The following is an 18,684-nucleotide window of genomic DNA, read 5'->3' on the forward strand; positions in this document are numbered from 1 at the left end:
GGAAGAAATTGGGCCTTTGGGTCTGGAATTTTTTTTTTTTTTTTTTTTGAACTGGTAATAGAATTTATTCAAATGTGCCTTAATATAGGCGCTGGGGCTTGCCCATGGTGCTCTCGATATATAAGGCCCGGACATTCTGCCAGTTTTTCTTGAGCAATGACACCAAGAAGTTGACAGCCAGGTGAATGTTATACACAAGCTCATCGGCTGTCATCTTCACGTGACCAACAGCTACAGCCAGACATAACACCTTCTTCATTTGGAACTTGATTGTGGACTTCACCTCACCCACTTTGGCCACCATGTTTTCGTTGTGTGTGAGCAGGGAAGGGAACTTTCCTGCCTTATTTAGACCTGGGCCGAGGATTCGTGGAATCTGCTTGATCAGAGACTCTGAGGCCAAAAACGCATCATACTTCTTGGCCAGCTTCTTGACCAGTTTTTTATTCTTTTTGAGTTTTTTCAGCGCCTCGATGTCCATGTGGGGGATATCCACGGCCTTAGCCTCGTCACAGTGCTGCTGGTCCCCCAGGACACACACACACAACTTAGGGCGGGGAGTGGACTTAAGTCTGACGGTGCCCGAGAAGCACTTGTCCTTCTGGGGGTCATAGTTCTTCAAGCTGATCTGCAACTCCACCGTCTCCAGGAACTTGCGGCGCTTGCGCTGGTTCCGGTGCAGGACTTCCCGCACCGCCTCGTACAGGGTGTTGCGAGAGACTGCTGCTCATGGCTTCTCACGCCGCGCTAACCGGAAAAGAGCGGGTCTGGTAATATTTTTATCTTTTTTTGCTTCGGGCTGGAAATGAGGTAGGCTCAGTAGAAGTTCTGAGAAGAGACAGAGTTTATGGAAACTCCCTGATGAAAATACCTGTCACTCATTCAGCTCTCTGCCTAGCAACCAACTTGACTTAAGATTCCTCCTGCTGAGTGAGACGTAAGCATCATTGGCTAGTTAATACTATTGGTTTTGAAATCTCCACTCTTACCTTGTCAAAATCGAGAGACTCAGATTTTCCTGTATGATGGGAGTCACTGTATTCTTCCTTTCTAAACCCATTTCATTATTACACTATTCAGACTACTTAAATGTGATATTCCTGATGCTCAGGTTTGTCAGGCCATGGGTGTCTGTGTGTGTGTGTGTGTTGGTTAAAATGTCATTAGAGATGACCTCTTTGAGGAGGAGAATGCAGCAATGTACAGCATATACTGCTGGGCTTCTCTGTGTCTTACATAACTGATATTCCAATTTCTCGCTGTGCTATAACATGACTAAAAGTCCTCCTAAGCTTTTCACTGAAAAACGACTTCCCCTCCATAAACCATAGTGGGCTTGGTGCTGTAACACTTGGTAGAATATATGTGTGCATAACACCATGTCCTCCCTCTTGTTATTCACATGATAACCATAGGCAGATTTACACTTATTGTCTATTCTGAAGAGTGAAACTACATATTTTCATAAGCATGCTCCATTTTTAATTGTGTAATTAAGTTGCTGACATAAGCAAGTATGCAATTTCACATTAAGGTGAGGATCCGTAAAGGCATTCATTTGCATAATTTAATTTTCTGCACAGAAGATATTGAAAATCAATAGCATGATTCATAGCCATACCATATCATTGCCACACCGCCTTTGGTTGTCTGTCTGAGCTTAGAAGAGTACAAAGAGTATTAAAATTGATTGAATTTTGGTGTGCTGACTCTGTATCTTTACTTGGGAACCACAGACTGTTTCTATTTGCAAATCACTGCTCCTTGCCAATAAAATATTAAGTTGCTTAATATACTCTATATATACTTTTTGACTGCTGTTCAAATAATAGTTTTAAAAGTTGGTTTTTAAAAAAAATCACAGCATCGTCGATTAAAATGCATTTGAGGAGAGGACTTAAAGTGTTGTCTTATTTTAAATTATGTGAGTGCCAGTAATAATGATAATTAGTCCTCAGACGCTTTTGTTGTGCGAACATCATAGAGTGTACTTAACAAACTTAGATGGAATAGCCAGCCCACTGCACACCTAGACCATATGGTGTAGCCTAATGCTGCTAGGCTACAAACCTGTACAATGTGTTACCGTCCTGGATACTGTAGGTAATTGTAGCACAGTGGTAAGTATCTGTGTATCTAAACATATCCGAACACATAAAAGGTACAGTAAAAAATACTTTATTATAATCTCATGGGACCAGCATCATATATGCAGTTTTTCATTGACTGAAATTTTATCATGTGGCACATTACTTGATTATGCTCTTACAGATAGGGGAGGGGGAGAGGTCACACATTACTGACAGAGATGGAACAAAAGGGAAAACTAAATATAGTCACCTTTAATGAGTAGTTTATCTAGTTAAAAAATAAAATGTGGTGCTGAGGTTAAAAGTCCTGCCCTGTTCATTTCTGAACAATTGCCTTCCTAAAGAATTGCTTATTGGTTACTCAGGGCCATTTTCTTTTTGCTTCATGTATTAAATGCTTGCTGTTTGTGATAGGTGGGCAGTGGCTAGAGAGTCAGTGAGGTTCTGGGTGGTGGTTTTGCCTGTGGCTTATGTAAACAGGTACATAACATGCATAGATACACACACATTTTCTTACCATCACTACCCTCTAGAACACAGAAACCATCAGCTTTTTGATCTTTCATGTGTTCATTCATTCCCTCACTTTTTTTTTTTTTTTTTTGAGACGGAGTCTTGCTCTGTTGCCAGGCTGGAGTGCAGTGGCGTGATCTCGGCTCTCTGCAAGCTCCGCCTCCTGGGTTCAAGCGATTCTCCTGCCTCAGCCTCCCGAGTAGCTGGGACTGCAGGCGTGCCACCATGCCCAGCTCATTTTTGTATTTTTAGTAGAGACGAGGTTTCACCATGTTGGCCAGGATGGTCTCGATCTCTTGACCTCATGATCCGCCCACCTTGGCCTCCCAAAGTGCTGGGATTACAGGCGTGAGCCTCGCACCTGGCTGCCATTCCCTCACTGTTGATGAACACACACCATGCGCTGATTTCCATTGTGAGTGGTAGGTTGACAGTAGTAGTTCAGGAATATGCCTGTGCCCTATTTCCAGGGAGCTTAGAGCCCTTCATACGCCATGCAGCATGTACTTTAGAAGCCAGTTTTCCTGCCCATGCTGACCTTGCTGTGGAAAACCCACTTTGTACCTCAATACTTTGCGTAGTGTGAGGAAGATAAGATTAACCTACCTTCTTGGGATGGCCCTGTCCCTTCTGTTACCTCTTGTCGTATGTAGCAGAACCGTACCTTTTACTTCTGTCTTAAGTGAATTACCTTTAGACAGGCAGTCCTGTTGCTCAAGTCCAATTCCTTATACCACATTGTGATGTATATGTGTGTCTGGGGTGAAGTCCAAGGCATAGGGTTGGTTGGTTGGTTTTAAAGTAGCCCAGGGTTAAGAGAGCTCTAGTACAACAATGGCCTTTTATGGATGGAGAAATTTATGACCAGGATTTCAAGTGATGGTTTAAAGCATACGATGGGTGTCATTTGAGGATCTTCTTTGGTACAAAAGACAGAAAAATGTGCTTTAGCAGGTAAAACTGATCCCAGTAAAAATAGACCCTCAGAGAGGGCTAGCTTCAAATCAGCTTTGTCGAAGGTTTAAATATTTTATTTTAGTTATTTTATTAAACTTTCTTTCTTTTTCTTTTCTTTTTTTTTTTTTTTTGAGACAGGGTCTCACTCTGTTGCCCAGGCTGGAGTGGAGTGGCACAATCACGGCTCACTTGAGCCTCCCTGGCTCACGCTATCGTCCCACCTCAGCCAGCCAAGTAGCTGGGACTACAGGCGTGTGCCACCACACACTCTAATTTTTTTTTTTTTTTTTTTTTTTTTTTTGAGACAGAATCTCGCTGTGTCTCCCAGGCTGGAGTGCCGTGGCGCCATCTCGGCTCACTGCAAGCCCCGCCTCCCAGGTTCACGCCATTCTCCTGCCTCAGCTGGGGCTACAGGTGCCGCCACTTCACCCGTCTAATTTTGTTTTTGTATTTTTAGTAGAGACAGGATTTCACCGTGTTAGCCAGGATGGCACACGCGCTAATTTTTTTATTTTTTGTAGAGATAGGGTTTCGCCTTGTTACCCAGGCTGGCAGAGTTTAAATTTTGTCAACAGAATTGATTTTTTGGTCCCCCTGGCTTTGGTTCTAATTTTAAGGTCCTCTGTTAATCCCTTACTTGGTCCTCAACCACCCCCCGAGGCTTCCACTTTGTCTAATACCTTCAGGAAGGAAGAAGAATCTCTCTGACTGGCCAGTGTGCCCATACCTGAATGCATCACTGGGGCCACGAGAATGGTTAAAAGTGATTGACTGGCTTGAACCAAACAAGGCTCACTCCTAGAGCTAACATTGGTGGTGGCGGGTTAGCTGTCCAATGCGTGATACACAGCTAGCTGGAGTGGGGATATGGTTATTACAAAACAGATCCTCTACAGCAAATTTCCACTATGTTGTCGGACACTAAAAAGCACTAGGGCTGGGTGCAGTGGCTCACACCTGCCATCCCAACACTTTGGGAGGACCAGGTGAGAAGATTGCATGAGCCCAGGAGTTTAAGATCAGCTACAAAAATAAAAAATCAGCTGAGCATAGTGGCATGCGCTGATGGTCCCAGCTACTCAAGAGGCTAAGTTGGGAGGACTGCTTGAACCCAGGGGTTAAGGTTGCAGTGAACCATGATCTTGCTACTGCACTCCAGCCTGTTCGACAGAGCAAGACCCTGTTTCAAAAAAAAAACAAAACCAAAAGCAGTGTATGCCCAGTGCTGAGTTAGGTGCTCTGCTCACCATAACTTGCGTTATCTTTGTAACAGTCTTAGAAGGCTGGCATTTTTAGGTCCATTTTACAGTCAAGGAAATTGAGGCTCAACCACATACCCTAATGGAAGCCACATTTATTACTAACATAGCAAGACAGTGTTTTACTCACTGTTTTGATGGAAAGAGGAAGGATTAATGGGGAATAATTATTTGTAGAATGGTTTGGATGGAAGGCACCTAAACCTACCTTGTACTTGAAAAATGAGTGGAAGCTTAAATTTTGACATGAATTTTCTTTGAGGACCAATGAGCAGACATAAATGACATCAGGTTTACTTTTTAGGCTTGTGTTGAGAATTTATAGGATTCTTGTTTCCCTCTAAAGGGCTCATCTCTGTGGAATACTATTGTTCAAGCATTACATCTTTTAATGCTAGTCTTTTTAATTGAAGTGTAAGCATAAAGTACTCTACAGGTTTCTTAATTTTTTTTAATGACTGTCACATTGTCTAAAAGGCTAATAATATCTTGGCGATATTATTCCATTGACTAATTTGGAATACAGAATGCGTTGTGTTTTCCTGGTCCCATCTTTGTCTTCAATTGAATATACAGCTTCCCAAAACTTTCTTAAATTTTTTTTTTTCTCTTTGAAAGCAGGCTTGCTTTTGTTTAGGTGCATTTAAATGTTATCATAGTCAGCTGGGGTATATTGTTTGCGTGTAATTCCGTTTCATTTTGGATTTTGAGGCACCTGTGACATTTGTCTTCTTATACATCAGTGTTTTCAGGTGTGGGCTCACAACAAAAGAAATCCGCATCCATGAGGTAGCTGGGAAGAGAGGGCTTTGAACGCTATAGCAGGCAGATGGAAGCTCTCCATAATGGGTGAGAGTAGTATTTTTGCTGTTGCTTGGTGGATTGAAATGATTTTGAGATTTCAAATATACATCACTAATCAGTGTTTCTTTTGTGGGCATTGTGGGCCTTGGAGGCTTTCTTGTTTCATATCTTCTGGCACCACAGGTGACTGTTAGTGGCCCAAAGGATGTGGAAGACTGGTACTAATCACAAGGAGTCTCCTAGGTTTCAGATTGTCCTGTGTTTGGGTGGCTGGCTTTGATGCAGGGATTCTTAAGTCTGGTTTTCTCATCTACTGCATACCTACTGGGTGACCTGGGGCCAGTTACTTTGTGTCTCTGCTCCTTAGTTCCTCCATCTGTAAAAGAGATAGAATGACCCTGGCTCTGTAAAGATCAAATGGAGCCCGAGGGTCTTTACACACAGGTTGTAAACTTATACATGCAGTTGGAACCGAAGTCTACCAGTTAGTTGTATGTATGACCTTGGTCAAGTTAAAGTTCTTTCTGTTGTTGAAGCTTCAGTTTGCTTATCCATAAAAGGGCCCCATTATTGGGATCACTGTTTGTACTGCTTGGTGGTGTTTTGCAAATCAACTAAGATAATGTATATGAAGTGCTTAGTGTACTGCACTTCTTGGCACAAAGTAAAGGTTCCTTGTCAACGATTCCTAATATTAATAATAATAATTTGTCTGGACTTTCCTATAGTTTTTTTTTTTTTTGTAAAATAAGTTGGTTCTAGTCAGTCATCCTCAAGGACTATGATTCTACGAAGTCACCCAATGGTGTTCATTTGACACCCTTCCTGTATCCAGTGGGGTGCTGCCTTTGTCTCATTGTGGGTTTTCCTCTCTTCCAGCGTTGACAGAAGGCTACGTTGGGGCCCTGCACGAGAATAGACACGGCAGCGCAGTGCAGATCCGCAGGCGCAAGGCTTCAGGCGACCCGTACTGGGCCTACTCTGGTAAGTCCAGTTGTTCTAATGGAGATCACACAGGCCAGTTAACATCCCATTCAACTCACTTGAAAGCACACTTTGAATCACTTTTATGCCTGAGTTCTGTTTGCTCAAATCTTTCGTAGTTCACTAAAAGTTGAAATATTCGAGCCTGTTTTTCCTCAAGGTTATAAGCACCTTAATTTATCTCTACCACCTGTTTCCTCAACCTGTTTTCCCCTCAATTTGCGTTTATTTCTGAACTTTACTGTTAATGAGTTATTGTACCAAACTTGTAATTTTCTGAAAGACGTAGTCTTGTCTTTTCTGTTTTTTCAGGGGCTGTGATTTCAGAGAGCAGAAAATATATGGCTAGTCTTGAGCTGCTAAATGTCTGCTAAACATTACAAACATCACATATCAGAATGCTCTATTAGGCTCTAAGCCAAGAAATGCAACTTTATTTTTAAATCACATCTTGTTCTTTGAATATATTTTAGCTGTCTACTCGATGGTAATCTGCAGTCCTTTTCATTTTTATTTTTACTTTTACCCTTTTGAGCTAATGAAGGGAGAGAGCATTGTTCTAACTATGTTGAATGTTACATTGCAAATAATTTTCTTACATTTTAAGGGGACAAAAATGAAGACCGAAAACTAGGGATAGACTTTTCTGGATTAGGCTTCCCAAAACTCCCAAAATATGAGAGGTGGATTGTTATTTCTAGAAGAGATTTTTGATGCTCAAAAATATATGGAAAATGTATTAAAGCTAATTAAGGAATGCTTGAGTAAGATAGACCACTTTGGAAATTACTTTGGCACTGAATAATTCAAACTCCTTCTATGAAAGAGCTTGGAGGCATGGAGTATTAGTCTTAATAATAAATCTATGTATTATGCAATGTTGTTGCATATAGAACTGAAAGTATTCTTTTCATAATGATGCTCGGGTTTAAATCCTGAATTTCTCCCAGCAAATCCTGTTAAATTTATGCCAGTGTAAAATTTATAGGTCTGATCTTTAATTATACCTTATCTATTGGCTTTTTGCATCCTTTTGTCTATTGATAAATCTGCTGCCCCTGCAGGGAGAATATCCTATCTGTTTTGTTTTGCAGTGAACAGATAGTGATTCTGAAGTTTTCCATCACACCCAGTACCTTGTGATTAGAATTATCTAATTAGAGGCTTTTTGTCACCATTTCTGATAAATGAAGGAAATTGGCAGATGAAAGCCAAAATTACATATATATAGCATCTTGCCAAGAAACCCAAAGAAAATTTATCATTTTGTACTCTGTGGCTCTGACATCAGTCAGGAGGAGGCACAAAGTGGCTTGCTATTTACAGTTCATCAGTTTAGAATAATAATGCTGTTAGTCAGGAAATTGGAAGTTATATCCCATTAGCATGTCCAATTGCAAATGGCAGTGAAGAGATGAAAGCCCTTAAACTTTTCCCATTATGTAGTTAAGAATGACCATAAGTGGTGCCATCTTTGTGATGGAGTGATTGTTGATGTCTTTAACTTTGGTAGAGTTCAGAAGTCTCCATTTTGTATTTCTGGAATGCATTGTGTCTGAATTTGGGTATTGCCTCCAGTAGTAGAAGGACTAATGGTTCAAATTCAAGAGTTGGCACACTTTTTCTGAAAAGATCCAGGTAACAAACATCAAAAGCCATGTCGTCTTTGTTGCAACTGCCCAACTCTGCCATTGTAGCTTAAAAGTACCCACTGACAATTCTGGACAGACTGGCTGTGCTCTGATAAAAATTTACTTATGAATACTGGAATTTGAATTTTATAATTTTCATGTGTCAGGAAATATTCTTCTTTTGATTTTTTTCTCATTCATTAAAAAATATACAAACCATTCTTGCTTTGCAGGCTGTGCAAAAACAGGTGGCTGGTTGGATAGGGTCCACAGGTTATATAGTTTGTGAACCCTTGTTCCAGTTGATTTTTTTCCTAGAAATCAGATAGGAGAGTCATTTGAGGAATTGCTTGGAAGGATGTGGACTGGTTTGGAAGACTGAATGAAGTCATTTGTTAGGCATAATGGAAAAAATAAGAGTAAAAGAAGAATAGAATGGGACAGATATCAACTGATGGTATAAAGTTCTTATGCTTGCAACAGTTCTTCCTGACAATTCGACAGTATCTATGGTTGGCTCATGCTGACGTGGTGCAGTATTGGTTCTCATGTCAAGAAGGCTTGGAGTTCATCACAGACATTCCTTAGCATTTGGCCAATGTGTAAACAAGGCCAGGAAGAAGTAAGAGTTGGGGCCTGTTACTTTGGGTACATCAGACCAGCACCTTAAAACCACAGCAAATGAGATGTGGGACTATTAGCTGCAGGCATAGTCCTCTGGATATAAATGCTTGAAAAGTGGGACTGACAAAAAAAGGCTCATTTTTTATGAGGGAAGTGTTTCTAAATTTAGCAAAATGAAGCAGGCAGTTCCTCAAAGATTGCTTTAATAGTCTAGATTTTAATCTGAGGCCTCAAATTCTCTGATTTGTCTTATTTCCTCCTAAGATAATGCCATGGGTGCTTTAGGGGTGCAGTGTGTGAGAGTATGAATTTTGAAGTCATATAGACAAACCATAGTTCAAAGCGAAGTTTTGTTAATATCTTGATGATGTTGGAAAAGTGTGACATGGGAATGATTAATATTAATAGCACTTCCCACATAGGATTGTTACAGGGATTCAGTGAGATGATATTTGTGAAAACATTAACATAGGCCGGGCGCAGTGGCTCACGCCTGTAATCCCAGCACTTTGGGAGGCCGAGGTGGGCGGATCGCGAGGTCAGGAGATCGAGACCATCCTGGCTAACACGGTGAAATCCCGTCTCTACTAAAAATACAAAAAAAAATTAGCCAGGCGTAGCGGTGGGCGCCTGTAGTCCCAGCTGCTGGGGAGGCTAAGGCAGCAGAATGGCATGAACCCGGGAGGCGGAGCTTGCAGTGAGCCGAGATTGCGCCCACTGCACTCCAGCCTGGGTGACATAGCATGCCTCTGTCTCAGAAAAAAAAAAAGAAAACGTTAACATAGTCTCTGGCGTAAAGTAAGTAGTTAATATTACTTCTTGCTTATTTTTGAGACTGTTATTATTACTTTTGCTGCAATTAATGTTGGTTTTGGAATGCACAAGTGTCGCGATTGACAGTGGGTGATGACTGGATAGTTCTGAGAGCTGAACAAGTTAGATTCTCTCAGCCATAATTCTCAAGGGGTGCTTAGTTGGGATTTGGGCATGAGGGTTAAGCAGACTATCCTCAAGTTCAGTGGTTGGCAAACTACAAACTGCAGCTGTGTTTTGTAAAATAAATTCTGCTGGAACACAAGCACACCCATCACATTGCATATTATCTATGGCTGCTTTTGTGCTACAGTTGCAGAACTGAGTGGTTGTGACAGAGACCTAGAATGTTACTATTCCAGTAATGTTGAATATCTAGTAATATTGAATATTAAATATCTAGTAATGGTGAAAAGCCTAGAATATTACTGTATCTGGCCTCTTATAGAAAAAGTTTGCTGGCCGGGTGCGGTGGCTCATGCCTCTGATCCCAGCACTTTGGGAGGCCGAGGCGGGCAGATCACGAGGTCAGGAGTTCGAGACCTGCCAACATGGTGAAACCCCATTTCTACTAAAAATACAAAAATTAGCTGGGTGTGGTGGCGGGCACCTATAATCCCAGCTACTCGGGAGGCTGAGGGAAGAGAATTGTTTGAACCTGGGAGGTGGAGGTTGCAGTAAGCTGAAATCGTGCCACTGTATATTCCAGCCTGGGTGATAGAGCAAGACTGTCTCAAAAAAAAAAAAAAAAGAAAAAAAAAAAGAAAATATTTGCCAACTCCTGCTTATAGTAATATAGCCTGGGTTTTTAGCAGATGTTAGTCTGGTATAACTTTTCACTTCTCATTTTAAGACTAGCCTACTTTATTTCCACTTCACTGCATCACCTTGGAAAATGCAGACACCTTATTTATTTTTGAAATGTTAAACTTTACCTTTATAGGCCTATCAAACAATGCCTTTGTGAATACCTGTAATTTTAGCATAGAGAACTATTTATTGAGGAACCTGGAGATATGTATTAGAGTTCTCTTGTGGTCACTGGAAGATTTGTTGTTTCTCTGGATCTTAAATTTCATCTGCTAGTAAAAAAGGGGGACATAATATCTGATTTTGACATGAAAACATCATAGAAGGTATGAAATGGAACATAAATATAAGTTATTGTTGACATAATAATAGCAATGTAATTTGATGATTGATTTATATCTTTGGATTTCTTTTTCCTTGTACCAACATAGTAGGCAAAAATGGGAATGAGTTAAGTTTCATATAGAATTGTACTGAAAAAATGCAGTAGTTTAATAGTATCTCATTGGAAATAATAAAACAATTTCTTTTCTATTAATTTTACTCAGTTAAAGTATATTTCTGTCTTTCTTGAGGTGATGGTAGCTCATGAATTTTGGAGTTTGCCCAGAACTTCTATAATTATTGCACAAAGAGTAACACATGCTAGGCAGGTCATCAATGCAGGAAAGAGAAATGAAAAATAAATCATAAATCTAGAGTAACTTCAAGTAGAAATTTGAGGGTTTTTTTTTTTTTTTTGGAGATTGGATCTTGCTCTTTCACCCAGGCTGGAGTGCAGTGCCTCGATCTCAGCTCACTGCAACCCCCCAACCCCCTGCTTCCTGAGTTCAAGCAATTCTCACGCTTCAGCCTCTCAAGTAGCTGGGATTATAGGTGTGCACAATCACACTCCCAGCTAATTTGTGTATTTTTAGTAGAGATGGGGTTTCACCATGTTGGCCAGGCTGGTCTTGAACTCCTGACCTCAGGTGATCGGCCTGTCTCGGCCTCCCAAAGTGCTGGGATTACAAGTGTGAGCCACCACACCCGGCCAGAGGCATTTTTATATATAAAGTTATTTTCTCTCTTGCCACTCAAAGACTAGAGAAAAACAGGTGGTAGTTTCTTCCCTTCCTCTGCTTTTTTTTGTTTTAACTTAATTCTGTTTCATTTTTCACAATTTTAATAATCTCTATCTCATTTTCCCCTGTGTAGAAATAGCTTCTAAGAATCAGTACAAGGAGACCATTTCTCATTGTTAGAGAAACCCAGAATTGAAATAGGCAGTGACCAAAATTCCCCGTAAGACATTTCTGGCATTGGGCTGGGTGAAGGTCAAGCAGGATTATTCTAAGAGGCATTCCTGCCATAGCCAGGGGCCATCCATGGTCCTCTCCAACTGTCCTGGGATTTGAGGAATTGCTCAGCTGTAAAATGGAGATGGCTTTGAGGATTAAAGGTAATATATATTGGCACCTGTAGTATGTACTTTTTGGCCTCCACCCTGGAGTAGAGTAGGTATTACCTGTGTGGCTCTTCATTATATGCCACCTCACTACACTGTTCATATAAACATCTTGTTTTATAACATGCATGTGTGTGTCTGGGCGTGTGTCTCATTTCCCCGGCTAAGTGTAGAATCCTTGAAGACAAGGATTATTGCTTATAATTCCTTGTTTCTCCTGCAGCGTGCCAGTGTGTCTTGTTTTGTGGAGATTTGGTGCATGTTTTTCAAGTGGACAAGTGGATACACGGATAAATTAACTCAAGCCAGAGTCTGTCCTTGGGAATTTACTAAGGGGAGTCCTGCCATGAAATTCAGATAAATTAGTGGGTGATTTGCAAAAGGTTTCACTGTTGGATCCCTTTAAATAACAAGCTCCCCTGGTGAACTTAAGATATAATTAAATTCCTAAAATTACATTTTCATGTCTATTTTTAAGAATGTCTGTACAGGATAAAGCAAAATATACGTGCCTGCAGAATTCAGCTTTTGTCATTAGAAGAATGGAAGGCACTGTAGGACCTCAAATTTAATGTTAATATTGTTGTGTTATTTGCCTCTCTCCTAAAGCCTCCTCCAAAATCTCTTAAGGGAATCATTTCCTTAGAGACATTCTCTTCCTAATAGAGACCTCCTTCTTCTTCTTCTTTTTTTTTTTCTTTTGAGATGGAGTCTTACCCTGTTGCCCAGATCTCAGCTCACTGCAACCTCCGCCTGTCGCCCTGATCTCAGCTCACTGCAACCTCCGCCTCCTGGGTTCAAGCTATTCTCCTGCCTGCACCTCCTGAGTGTCTGGGATTACAGGCATGTGCCACCACGCCCGACTAATTTTTGTATTTTTAGTAGAGTTGGGGTTTCGCCCTGTTAGCAAGGCTGGTCTCGAACTCCTGACCTCAAGTGATCTGCCTGTCTTGGCCTCCCAAAGTGCTGGGGTTACAGGCATGAGCCACTGCGCCCAGCCCTAATAGAGACCTTCTGATCGGAAGGAACCACACCACTGAGGAGGAATCAGCCTTGAGAGTCTTCCTCCATGTCTCAGCTCAAAGGCTCCCTGTGCCTTGGTGCTTAGCCTGACCCATTTCTGCCTAAACTCCTCAGTCTCCCCTTTATTTATTTTTAAAATTAATGTTTATCTTTTCTACATATCCCTATTAATCTTACAGTTTTAAAGTAGAATTTCTTTACTTATTTGTTTACCACACTTACTAATTGTCTACTGTGTGCCAGGTGTTGTGCTAAATGTGAAGGGCCAGAGAAGCTGCCCATAAAATTGCTGTTGCCAGATTCCAGTCTTCAAAGACAGGCAGGTGTTTGCCAGGACACACATAGGCCTTGAGCCTGGAGGGCTCTGGCAGTGATTAGAGAACCAGAAGCAGCTCAGAAGCTCTAGAGCATGTGGTCGGGTGGAGAAAGTTAAGGGCTTAATGAAGAGGATTGGAGTTAGACTATGGACAGCCTTATGATATTATTCTACTAGTGACATAGAACTTCTTTCTAAGGATGATAGGGAGTAATTAAAGAGCTTCACCTGGAATTGGACTACAGTTGGTTTTATGTTTAAGACCACTGGTTGTAGGGTTAAGGACTGGGCAGTGGGAGGAAGAGGGCAGGATGAAAAATGATGGGGCTGTATCACTGGGGATTTGAGAATGAAAAGAAAAGAGCTCATGGGAATTCATTATCGTTTGTACAAGGAGGAGAAGGCAAAATGAATTGTTGTCCCCAAGATGATTGAAGATGGCATTGCATTTGTTTTGAAATAAGTAAATGAGGAGTGGTGGGTTGGTTGAAAAGATGAAGAATTTTGACTAGAACCTATTAAGATGTGTTATAGTGTTTTGTCTGCATTTCTTATGCCCTTTAGAGTTCATGCTCTTTGAACAGAACCTTTGTCTGTAATTAGTCATTGTATTTCCCTGTTGCTACCTAAATGTTTTTGGATAGGAGGGCTTCAAGATAGAGAACAAATTGTAGAATAAACTGTTTCTTCCTACAGATACTATTTTTCTTTTATAGTTCATGTGTGGTTCCAAGGGTAGATGGTGTAAGAAAAAACACATATGGTCACACACTAATCAGAACTTTATGTACAAAGGAGAAAAATGTGTTGCCATATGCTTAAGGTACCTGGAGAATTTTTCAATACTTGGCCAAGTTTGGGAATTGCCTCTCCAGTGTTTGAAAGACGTTGTTCTCTCTACTTAGAGTTCTTTTCTTATTTTTTTTAAACTTTCATCCTTGGCACCTGAGTTCTAAAGTTTCTTGGCATTTTCTCTGTGGAGGTGGTTTCACAAGTGATTGTAAAGTTAATGGATGCTAATGCATTAATATATTATCAGAGGACATGAATACATTCCTTAGGGGCCTTGTGACCATTGGAAAAGTCTAGCAGTAAGATGAAATACTGTTTAGTGCTGTGTTGTTATCAAGTGGTACATATCAGTGGTAACAAGATTTCAATTGTTGCTGTGATGGGGTATTTAAAACATGGGTAAATGGAATACTGAGAGTTTGGGTTTTAAAGTGACTCTGAAGGTAGTGGGGTGATGGATCCTTTTTGGAGGAGAGCTTTTTGGCAATATCTGTGAAAATGTTAAATACTGCTCATCTTTCATCCAGCACTTCTGCTTCTCAGAATTTCTCTTTCTGAAACACGTGTGCATGTCTCCAAAGTAGCATTGTGTTTAACAGCCTAAGTGACCAAAATAGGGACTTGGGTAATTATAATACATGCTTACAATGAAATGCTTACCTGAACATCCACCAAAATGGAGGAGGTTGAACTACAGGATGTATTAAAATAATATGGGTAATATGGTCCCATTAATGAATAAAGCTGAAGAATCCAGAGACTACACCCAAAAGTTAATTGCGGTTATCATTGAGAAATGAGGGATACTACCTTTTAATACTTATATTTCTATAATATTTTAATATTTTATAGAAGCATATCTAGAATATTTCAATTTCTTCTACCAGTAGATTCATAATTTTTTTTAATGACCTTTTTATTTTAGAGTAGATGGCTAAATGGTATCAAATTCAGGCAGTTTTCTTTGTAACAATTTTGAGGGGGAGAAAAAGAAAAAAACCTAAAAGGGAAGCCAGAAGGAAAGCAAAAACCTTTTTGTCTCTTTAATTGGCTGTATCTAAATTTTTTAGGTGAAACATTGTCAGTGGCATTTCATTTTTTTATAAAATGCTGATATGAACCTTGCAGAAATTAATGAACTGATATTGACTTAGTTTGAAATGAACATCAAGATTTATTGAGCAAAGCAGTAAATATTGACCCAGCCAAAGATAAGGTCAATATTTACTTTGACATAGCATAAATCCTAATATTCATTAATGTATAAATTTATTGTGTCAACACAAGGCATACAGAAGTTGTATATAAATATTTTTTTCATATCTGCGATGAATCAGAGTCAAACATCTTTTTTCTTGGTTATAAATTTAAAAGGACAATGTTCTCTTCTTTGAAACTACCTTCTTTGGGGAGAGGGGTGTGCGCGTGGGTGGAAGGACATGATTAATTTAAAGGTTCAAAGGAAAAATATACCTAGCTGAATACATGTGTTATAATTAGAGCACAGTGATTTGCATGTGCTCTGTGATTTACTTAAGGGCTACCAGTTTTCCTTTCTAACCTAACAAAACGTTCTCTTTCATTACATCTGATTTGATTCATAAAGCCCACCCACTTCTTTTTTCTTTCTTTTTTTCCATTTTTTGAGACAAGGTCTCACTCTGTCACCCAGGCTGAAGTGCCTGGTACTGACTATAGGCGCACACCACCACACCTGGCTAATTTTTGTAGAGTTGAGATTTCACCTTGTTGGCCAGGCCGATCTCAAACTCCTGGGCTCAAGCCCAGTATTCCCGATTTAGCCTCTCAAAGTGCTGGGATTACAGGCATGAGTCAGGGTACCCACCTAAAACCCACCTTCTGATGATATAAAACGGGGACTTTCTGTCTTTCCCTCTGGATATTGTTAAACTACTTACGTAGAATTTTGTTTGGTAAATAACATATTGTTGGTGTATATCATACTTTATAATACTTTATTGGCTGAAATTTCCCATGTTGAAATTATCTTAGTTTATTATTATTATTTTTGAGCCAGAGTTTCACTGTGTTGCCCAGGCTGGAGTGAAGTGGCACAATCTTAGTTCACTGCAACCTCTGCCTCCTGGGTTCAAACAATTCTCTTGTCTCAGCCTCCTGAGTAGCTGGGACTACAGGCGTGCACCACCACGTCTAGCTAATTTTTGTATATTTTAGTAGAGACGGGGTTTCACCATATTGGCCAGGCTGGTCTCGAACTCCCGACCTCAGGTGATCCGCCCACCTCAGCCTCCCAAAGTGCCACCACGCTCGGCTTCATGTTGAAATTATCAATTTGAGTTGAACTCTCATTCTTTATCTTGTGCCTTCTCTTGGTGGGGTGGTCTTGGTAGCAGTAAGAAGAACGTAAGGAGGACCCATTTCACTGGATTGTGAACTTTTAGAATTGCCAATATGTAGTTGGAATAAGTGTCTAATATATGCTTAAAGACTGAATTTTCTCGCTGTTCATTTAAGCGAAGAAAGTAACTCAGTCACAAGCTTAAGTATAATCTTGTCCCTATGCAATAGTCTTATATGATCCTGTTGTGCTCAGTCCACCTGGCATGTTCTTTGAGTGTAAAGTGGTGGTGTTAGTTTCAGTGTTTGGCTGATCTTGAAATGACCATCACTTCTCTCTCTCAGCTGGTAATCTCCTATGACCCTGTTTGAGATCAGCTACCTGAAGGGTGGTTATCTTCTTGGTTGTCTTTCTTGCTATTAAAACTTAACTGTCCTATGTTTCGTTTACTTTAAGGCCCATTTTCTGTTATGTAACTGATAACTTGTGTAGGTTAAAAACTTATCAGTGGTGTGTATATAACATAGAACTTTGCCTTCTTGAGAAATGCTTTCTAATAACTTCAGGAATTCTCACTTTTCATTCATGTCACTATAGTATATAATAATGTTTTCCACTGCGTGTAGTGGCTCACACCTGTAATCTCAACACTTTGGAAGGCTGAGGTGGGAGGATCACTTGAGCCGAGGAGTTCGAGACCAGCTTGGGAAACAAAGTGAGGACCTGTCTCTACAAAAAAATTAAAAAATTAGCTGGGCATGGTAGCTCACGCCTGTAAGTCCCAGCTACTCGGAAGGCTGAGGTGGGAGGATCGCCTGAACCCAGTCAAGGCTGGAGTGAACCCTGATCACACCACTGCATTCCCAGCCTGCGTGGCAGAGTGAGACCCTGTCTCAAAAATAATAATAATAAGAATACTAACAATGTATTCCTTGAGTGTAGTATTCATTGGCATTTTTATGTCATGTGAAAAATGACTCTATGACTCTCCTGTGATACAAATATTTGACTTTCACATAATAAAGTCATTTCTTCTTGAGGTTTTTTTTTTTTAAATCAAGGAGAAAGTGAGTTTTGTACTAATAGGTCTTTAACATCTCTCTGTCACTTGCTCATACCTCTTTTTATCAAGAAGAGATAGGACTGACCTCAGTCTGCTGGGAGAGTATCTTAGAATTTGATCTCGTGGATTTCATTATACCCTGGTACCCTTCATGTCTGGCAAGCCATGTTAGTTTTCCGTTTTGATGTGTTACATTTCCTATTAAGTCATATTTGAGATTTTATAAAAAGTGGGCCAGTTTAAAGAAAAATTTTATCTAAGCAGTAGTACAGCTGGCTTTCCAATATGGCAAAATAAGTCTTTCTGTAGGAGATATCACCATTTTGGCAGGATTGAAAAGCCTCTTGTTTTGTGCCATATAATCAAACTATATCTGTGATTTGAAAAATGACAAAGGGTATAATAATTCCTAGAATTGGTTTTAAAATGAAGGAAAATAGTATCCTAGTTCAAAAGTTATGGCTCATTGTAAGTGCTGGTCTGGTATAACCATACAGATTGTTTAAAATCTTTAAATAAATACTTGGCCCAATCCCTTTTGTTCCCCCTTTCTCGCTGCCCTGGAAACTCCTTCTCTTATTTTGGGACCTTTTAAAAATCCTACCTTAGACCTGTAAACCCACTCTGTACCATCTGCTGTGACTGATTATTATCTCTGATTTGTTAAATGATTTAAGTTTCATTTCTGCTTATCATGACTTGGAGGGAATTTCAGAGTGATAGGCCTGACTTGGTAGGGTTTTGGGATATGTATTATACTCTGCAACCCATTCCTTTGTTTTTTTACATTTTATTTTAAGTTCAGGGGTACTTGTACAGGATGTGCAGGTTTGTTACAAAGGGAAAGTGCGCCTGGTGATTTGCTGCACCTATCAACCCATCACCTGGGTATTAAGCCCAGCATGCATTAGCTATTCTTCCTGATGCTCTCCCTCGCCCCTCCCTGCTCTCCAGGCCCCAGTGTGTGTTGTTCTTTTCCCTGTGTCCATGTGTTCAGCTCCCTCTTTAAGTAAGAACATGCAGTGTTTGGTTTTCTGTTCCTGCATTAGTTTGCTGAGGATGATGGCTTCCAGCTTCATTCACATCCCTGCAAAGGATGTGAATGAAGGATCTCATTCCTTTGTATGGCTGCATAGTACTCCATGATGTATTTGTACCACATTTTCTTTAGTCTATCATTGATAGGCATTTGGGTTTATTCCATGTCTTTGCTATTGTGCACAGTGCTGCGATGAACA

General features: G+C 40.2%; 1 protein-coding gene and 1 pseudogene across 7 annotated transcripts in view; one reads left to right on the forward strand and one right to left on the reverse strand.

Annotated features, from left to right (window-relative positions):
- PTPRG (protein tyrosine phosphatase receptor type G) overlaps nt 1-18,684 on the forward strand; it is a 736,039-nt gene that overhangs the window by 180,805 nt on the left and 536,550 nt on the right. For 6 of the 7 annotated variants that reach the window (XM_017006961.2, XM_017006963.2, NM_002841.4 and 3 more), the window contains exon 2: nt 6,503-6,607. In XM_017006961.2, coding sequence (XP_016862450.1) covers nt 6,503-6,607 — 105 coding nt within the window. Of the gene's footprint in view, nt 1-5,649; nt 5,669-6,502; nt 6,608-18,684 lie in introns of those variants that run through there. The other variant, XM_017006962.1, reaches the window with a different exon arrangement.
- Nucleotides 50-762, reverse strand: RPL10AP6 (ribosomal protein L10a pseudogene 6; annotated as a pseudogene).

The sequence above is a fragment of the Homo sapiens genome, chromosome 3, assembly GCF_000001405.40.
Source record: "Homo sapiens chromosome 3, GRCh38.p14 Primary Assembly".
NCBI lineage: Eukaryota > Metazoa > Chordata > Mammalia > Primates > Hominidae > Homo > Homo sapiens.